Here is an 8,319-nt window from a genome sequence, read left to right on the forward strand (position 1 = left end):
GAGTAGCTGGGATTACAGGCATGCACCACCACGCCTGGCTAATTTTGTATTTTTAGTAGAGACAGGGTTTCTCCATGTTGGTCAGGCTGGTATCGAACTCCTGACCTCAGGTGATCCACCTGCCTCAGCCTCCCAAAGTGCTGGGATTACAGGCTTGAGCCATTGTGCCTGGCCGATAGCTATTTTTTTTTTTTTTTTTTTTTTTTTTTTTTGAGATGGAGTCTTGCTCTTGTCATCCTGGCTGGAGTGCAATGGCATGATCTTGACTCACTGCAACCTCCACCTCCCGGGCTGAAGTGATTCTCCTGTCTCAGCCTCCCGAGTAGCTGGGATTACTGGCATGGACCACCACGCCCGGCTAATTTTTGTATTTTTATTAGAGACGGGGTTTCACCATGTTGGCCAGGCTGGTCTCGAACTCCCGACCTCAGGTGATCCGCCCTCCCCGACCTCCCAAATTTCTGGGATCACAGGCATGAGCCACCGTGCCTGGCCAGTTCGGTTTTTTTTTTTAGGTTTACCTGGGCTTTTTGGAGTGTACCCATGCAGCCAGGTGTGGTTCAGGGTCAGCTAGATATTTGAGTAGAGTTGGGCCGTGTGCGGTGACTCACGCCTGTAATCCCAACACTTTGGGAGGCCGAGGCAGGCGGATCATGAGGTCAGGAGATCGAGAGCATCCTGGCTAACACGGTGAAACCCCGTCTCTACTAAAAATATTTAAAAAATTAGCCTGGGCGTGGTGTTGGGGGCCTGTAGTCCCAGCTACTCGGGAGGCTGAGGCAGGAGAATGGCGTGAACCCGGTAGGCGGAGTTTGCACCACTGCCCTCCAACCTGGGCGACAGAGGGAGACTCCGTCTCAAAAAAAAAAAAAAAAAAAAAAAAAAAAAAGATACTTGAGTAGAGTTTATAGAAACCATTCCAGGTACCCTCTCTCCAGCTTTTCTTTTCCAGGATTTATCTCCTCACCTTCCTTTTGCTGTAGTTCTTCAAGCTAGGAAGACTGGATTTCCCTCTGGTGTTTTAGCTGCCAGTCATGGTATGAACTAGAACTCACCCCCAAGTAAAAGCTGTACAAATAAGAAACTCGCCTTTCTTTTTTCTGAGTGTCAAGTTCCCTCCAGTTGCTCTGTCTGCTTTTGTTTACCTTCCAGTGCCTTGCCTTTGGGTAATTGTTTTCCACGTTTTTTCCAGGGTTTATAGCTGTTGTCTGTGTGGGAGGGCTGGAATTTGAATCCAAGCGCGTCTGACTCCAAGCGTTTTCGTATGATAACATACTGCCCTCTAGTGGCTGGATGTGGAGAACTGGTTTATGTGGGAGGAAGGGCATATTGGTAAATCTCTGAGGGCTGCATGTTTGGAAACATTGTTTATCGAAAACAATACCCACACATAGCAACAAATTACTTGCACAGAACAGTTTATGGTGAAAAACTGCCTAGCATCTTGTCACACTTACTGCTTCTCTCCAGAATTTTTTTAGTTTTAAAATATTCTTGCATATTTTATTTTAAAATAATGGCCATACTCTCACAGGATACAAAACCCGAAATATACAGGATGCTACAAGCTAAAAACAACGCCTTCCACTAAGTTCAACTCTTCACAGACAGCCAGTGTTTCCTACCATGGAGAATCTACACAGATTTAAGCAAATATGTACAAATAGTCTTTATTTTTTTTTGGAAGACGAATCTCGATTTGTCTCCCAGGCTGGAGTGCAGTGGTGCAATCTTGTCTCACTGCAACCTCCGCCTCCCAGGTTCAAGCGATACTCCTGCCTCAGCCTCCCGAGTAACTGGGATAACGGGCACGGGCCACCATGCCAGCTAATTTTTTGTGTGTTTTTTTGTTTTTTTGTTTTTTTTGAGACGGAGTCTCGCTCTGTCGCCCAGGCTGGAGTGCAGTGGCGCGATATCGGCTCACTGCAAGCTCCGCCTCCCGGGTTCACGCCATTCTCCTGCCTCAACCTCCCAAGTAGCTGGGACTACAAGCGCCCGCCACCACTGCCCGGCTAATTTTTTTGTTTTTTAGTAGAGACGAGTTTCACTGTGTTAGCCAGGATGGTCTCGATCTCCTGACCTCGTGATCCGCCCCACCTCGGCCTCCCAAAGTGCTGGGATTAGAGGGGTGAGCCACCGCGCCCAGCCATTTTTTGTATTCTTAATAGAGACGGAGTTTCGCCATGTTGGCCAGGCTGGTCTCGAACTCCTGATCTCAGGTGATCCGGCTGCCTCGGCCTCCCAAGTGCTGAGATTACAGGCGTGAACCACCATGTCTTGCTAATTTTTGTATTTTTAGCAGAGAGGGGGTTTCACCATGTTGGTCAGGCTGGTCTTGAACTCCTGACCTCGAGATCTGCCCTCCTCAGCCCCCCAAAGTGCTGGGATTACAGGTGTCACCCACCGCTTCCGGCCGCGTTTTTTGGTTTGTTTGTTTTGTGTGTGTGTTTTTTGTTTTGTTTTGTTTTGTTTTTTGAGATGGAGTCTTGCTGTGTCGCCCAGGCTGGAGAGCAGCGGCTCAATCTCAGCTCACTGCAACTTCCGCCTCCTGGGTTCAAGAGATTCTCCTGCCTCAGTCTTCCTAGTAGTTGAGATTACTGGTGCCGGCCACCGTGGCTGGCTACTTTTTGCGTTTTTAGTAGAGACAGGGTTTCACCATGTTCGCCAGGCTGGTCTCGAACTCCTGACCTCAGGTGATCCACCCACCTCAGCCTCCCAAAGTGCTGGGATTACAAGTATGAGCCACCACGCCTGGCCCTGGCCTGCGTTTTTTAAGACATAATCTTGCTCTGCCACCTAGGCCAGAGTACTGTGGCACTCCAGTTGCAGAGAGCCAACATTGTGCCATTGCACTCCACTGATCTCAGCTCACTGATCTCAGCCAGCTGCAAGCGATTCTCGTGCTTCAGCCTCCCTAGTAGCTGGGATTACAGGCGTGTAACACCACGCCCAGCTAATTTTTGTATTTTTAATAGAGATGGAGTTTCACCATGTTGTCCAGGCTGGTCTCAAACTCCTAAGCTCAAGCAATCTTCCTACCCCAGTCCCACAAAGTGCTGAAATCATGGGCAGGAGCCACTGCGCCCAGCCATTCTAGCTCGTGTTTTGCTGAGCATCGTCGCATGTCTTTGGGGTACACACACAGGAGTGAGGTAGTGGAGCACCGGCTAGGCGCATTTTTAGCGTTAATCGATATTGCCAATTCATTTCCCCAGTTTACGTGCCCACCAGCGTTGTAGACAAGTTCCAGTTTCTCCACATCCTGACCAACGCTTATTAGAATAAACTTTTGAACTGTTTTTGCTTTTAGTTCTTCCGTTGGTGACCTCCCCACTTGCAGATCAGCAGATCAAATCCCCATGCTGTTGACAACACGCTGGGAGCAAAGAGCCAGGTGGAGCTTCTAACGAAGTCAGATCTTCTGATATTTTAAAAGCTGAGATAAAATTCACAGGCCATAAAATTAACCCTTGGTCGGGCGTGGTGGCTACGCCTGTAATCCTAGCACTTCAGGAGGCCAAGGTGGGCAGATCACTTGAGGCCAGGAGTTCAAGACCAGCCTGGACAACATGACGAAACTCTATCTCTATTAAAAATACAAAAATTAGCCGGGCGTGGTGGCACATGCCTGTAATCCCAGCTACTCAGGAGGCTGGGACAAGAGAATCGATTGAACCCGGGAGGCGGAGGTTGCAGTGAGCCAAGATCGTGCCACTGCACTCCAGCCTGGGTGACAGAACCAGACTTTGTCTCAAAAAAAAAAAAAAAAAAAAAAAAAACCCACACCCCATCAGCAGTCACTATCCCCTCTCTCTCTGCACTCCCAGCCCCGGACAGCCACTAACTACTTTCTTTTGCTATGGATTTGCCTATTCTGGGCATCTCATTATAAATGCAATCGTACGTGTGACCTTTCGTGCTGGGCTTCTTTCAGCATGTTTTCCAGATCCATCCACACTGTAGCCCGTGTCAGGACGTCATTGCTTTTTTTTTTTTTTTTTTTTTTGAGATGGAGTCTCACTCTGTTGCCCAGGCTGGAGTGCAGTGGCGCGATCTCGGCTCACTGCAAGCTCCACTTCCCGGGTTCATGCCATTCTCCTGCCTCAGCCTGCCGAGTAGCTGGGACTACAGGTGCCCACCATCACACCCGGCTAATTTTTTGTATTTTTAGTAGAGATGGGGTTTCACCGTGTTAGCCAAGATGGTCTCGATCTCCTGACCTCATGATCTGCCCGTCTCGGCCTCCCGAAGTGCTGGGATTACAGGCATGAGCCACTGCGCCCGGCCCAACGTCATTCCTTTTTAGGGCTGAGTAATATTCCATGGCACGGGCTAGACCACATTTTGTCTCCACTCATCAGCTGACGGGCTTTTGGGTTGTTTCCACTTCTGGGCTATGGTGAATGGTGCTGTTAGGGTCATTCATGTGCATTTGTTTTGCCTCAGCCTCCCAAGTAGCTGGGATTAAAGGTGTCTGCCACCACGCCTGGCTAATTTTTGTATTTTTGGTAGAGATAGGGTTTCACCATGCTGGCCAGGCTGGTCTCGAACTCATGACCTCGTGATCCGCCCACCTCGGCCTCCCAGATCACGTACATATTTTTGTGTGGACCTGTTTTCAGTTTCTTGGGTAGATAACTAGGAGGGGAATTGTGAAGCTGATTTTTCCTTTTATACATGTCTCACTCTGTCACCCAGGCTGGAATACAGAGGTGGGATCACAGCTGGACCTCCTGGGCTCACACCATCTTCTGGCTTCGGTCTCCCATGCAGCTGGGACTACAGGTGGGCACCACCATGCCCAGCTAATGTATTCTTTTTTGTAGAGATGGGGTCTTGCTACAATGGCCAGGCTGGTCGCCAACTCCTGGGTTCAAGCAATCCTCCTGACTCGGCCTCCCAAAGTGTTGGGATTACAGGCGTGAACCACCTTGCTTGGGCTGATTTTTTTTTTTTAGATGGAGTCTCGCTCTGTCTCCAGGCTGCAATGCAGTGGCACGATCTCAGCTCACTGCAACCTCCACCTCCCAGGTTCAAGCGATTCTCCTGCCTCAGCCTCCCGAGTAGCTGGGACTACAGGCTGTGCCACCACGTCCAGTTAATTTTTGTATTTTTAGTAGAGACGGGGTTTCACCATGTTGGCCAGGATGGTCTCTATCTCTTGACCTAGTGATCCGCTCCCGCCTCAGCCCCCCAAAGTGCTGGGATTACAGGCGTGAGCCACCGCACCTGGCCATGCATTTCTCTTTAAAAAGAGAAATGGGGCCTGTAATCCCAGCACTTTGGGAGGCCGAGGCAGGTGGATCACTTGAGGTCAGGAGTTCAAGACCAGCCTGGCCAATGTGGTGAGATCCCTTCCCTACTTAAAAAATACAAAAATTATCCAGGCACAGTGGCTCACGCCTGTAATCTCAGCACTTTGGGAGGCCGAGGCGGGCGGATCACGAGGTCAAGAGTTCAAGATCAGCCTGGCCAACATAAGTGAAACCCCGTCTCTACTAAAAATACAAAAAAATTTAGCCGGGCGTGGTGGTGGGCGCCTGTAGTCTCAGTTCCGTGGGAGGCTGAGGCAGGAGAATTGCTTGAACCCAGGAGGCAGAGGTTGCAGTGAGCCGAAATCAGGCCACTGCACTCCAGCCTGGGCGACAGGGCGAGACTCCGTCTCAAAAACAAAAAAAGAGAAATGGAAATCTAGTTTTTCACATGAAATCTCCCAGCTCCTTTTTTGCATTTGAAAACTTCATACAGTAAAATCCACTCCTTTTGGTGAACAGTTCTGAATTCTGATAAACCAGAGTCATGTAACCACCACAGTCAAAATCCGGAACTGTTCCTTCACACCCCCCCAGAATCTCTCTTGCTACTCCCCACTTTGGGGTCAACTCCTTCCCCTACTCTGGCAACGAAAGCTTTGTTCCTGGTTCGTATAGTTTTGCCTTTGCAGTGTCAGAATAAATCTTCCTGTTTTTATTTTCTATTGTTTTGATATGGGGTCTCGCTCTGTAGCTCAGACTGGAGTGCAGTGGTGCTATCGCAGCTCACTGCAGCCTCCACCTCCTGGGTTCAAGCGATTCTCCTGCCTCAGCCTCCTGAGTAGCTGGGATTACAGGGGTGCTCCACCACACCCAGCTAATTTTTGTATTTTTAGTAGAGACAGGGATTCACCATGTGGACCAGGCTGGTCTCCAACTCCTGACCTGAGGCAATCCACCTGCTTTGGCCTCCCAAAGTGCTGGGATTACAGGTGTGAGCTACCAGGCCCAGCCATCTTCCTGTTTTTAATTTTTTTTTTGAGATGGAGTTTTGCTCATGCTGCCCAGGCTGGAGTGCAGTGGTGCGATCTCGGCTCACTGCAACCTCCATCTCCCGGGTTCAAGCAATTCTCCTGCTTCAGCCTCCCAAGTAGCTGGGATTACAGGCCTGTGCCACCACACCCGATTAAGTTTGTATTTTTTTTTAGTAGAGATGAGGTTTCACCGTGTTGGCCAGGCTGGTCCCAAATACCTGACCTCAAGTGATCCACCCACCTTGGCCTCCCAAAATGCTGGGATTACAAGTGTGAGCCACTGCGCCTGGCCCGTTTTTATTTTTTTATTTTTATTTTTATTTTTATTTTTATTTTGGGACAGAGTCTCACTCTGTCGCCCAGGCTGGAGTGCAGTGGCGCGATCTTGGCTCACTGCAACGTCTGCCTCAGGTTCAAGCAATTCTCCTGCCTCAGCCTCCTGAGTAGCTGGGACTACGGACGCATGCCACGACGCCCGGCTAATTTTTTATATTTTCAGTAAAGACAGGGTTTTACCCTGTTAGCCAGGATGGTCTCAATCTCCTGACCTCATGATCTGCCCGCCTCAGCCTCCCAAAGTGTTGGGATTATAGGTGTGAGCCACCACGCCTGGCCCGTTTTTAAATCTTTACAAGTAACTGTAATTTTCTGGACGCGCTGCCTGTGAGCTTCTTGAAACTGGAGCCCTCGGCAGGCACGCCTGCCATCAGCGCCACCAAGCCCAGGTCTTGCTCTAAACTTTAGACCAGTGTCTAAGGAAACTCTGCTCAAAAAAGACAAGATTTGTCTCACTTCCCGTCTCTTTCTTCTGCTACGGCTGAAGCTGTGGTTCTGCTCTTGCTTCCTCTCCAAGTACTTTAGAACCTTAAATGACAGAACAGGGTGAGGTGACTCAAATGTGTAATCCCAGCACTTTGGGAATCTGAGGCGGGTGGATCACTTGAGGTCAGGAGTTGAAGACCAGCCTAGATAGCCGGGTGCGGTGGCTCACGCCTGTAATCCCAGCACTTTGGGAGGCCGAGGCGGGCGGATCACGAGGTCGGGAGATCGAGACCATCCTGGCTAACACGGTGAAACCCTGTCTCCACTAAAAATACAAAAAAGAATTAGCCAGGCATGGTGGTGGTCGCCTGTAGTCCCAACTACTCGGGAGGCTGAGGCAGGAGAATGGCGTAAACCCGGGAGGCAGAGCTTGCAGTGAGCCGAGATAGCGCCACTGCACTCCAGCCTGGGCAAAAGAGCGAGACTCCGTCTCAAAAAAAAAAAAAAAAAAAAAAAAAAACCCAGCCTGGCCAACATGGCGAAACTACATCTCTACTAAAATACTAAAAATACAAAACAAACAAACAAAAACCAGCTGGCTGTGCTGGCAGCACCTGTAGTCCCAGCTACCCAGGAGGCTGAGGCAGGAGCCAGGATCACGCAAGTGCACTCCAGCCTGGGCAATAGAGCAAGGCTCCATCTCAAAACAAAAAAAAAAATGACAGAACAGATTGGAGCCAGGACTTTGACCTCCCCACCCTGCACTGCACAAAGAGTCTGTGAACAGAGTGGTGTTTGAGTTCCTTTGGGAAAACACAGGTGCAAGATTAGAAACCCTTCAGGTTATTACTGGGGGCACCGGTGATCTGTTCAACATATGAACAAGACTGGGGTTCTTAGATGGCTGAGAAAGCTGGAAGGACTCGGGTGGTTGAGAGGTCTTGAGAAAGAGGACAAGGATTAGGGATGTGGAAGGAAAGGGTATGACATGGAACTCTGGGTATGGAGGGATGGGGTGGGAGCTTGTGGAGGTGGAGAGGCCAGTGGGTCTCTAGGGGAGGGAGGACATGAAGGATGGGGGAAGTCCAGGACAAAGTCTGGGGGCGTCTCAGAGGAAACTGGCTCCTGGGGGAACCTGGCTTCCGTCACTCCCTCGAGCACGTGTGACTTTGCTCAAGTTGTGCCTTCTCGATCATGCCATTGCACTCCAGCCTGGGGAGTGGAAAAGTATTACTCACTGAACAGGATGGTGCATGCACTGTGATTCACTT

This window comes from Homo sapiens, chromosome 19, assembly GCF_000001405.40.
Source record: "Homo sapiens chromosome 19, GRCh38.p14 Primary Assembly".
Classification (NCBI taxonomy): Eukaryota; Metazoa; Chordata; class Mammalia; order Primates; family Hominidae; genus Homo; species Homo sapiens.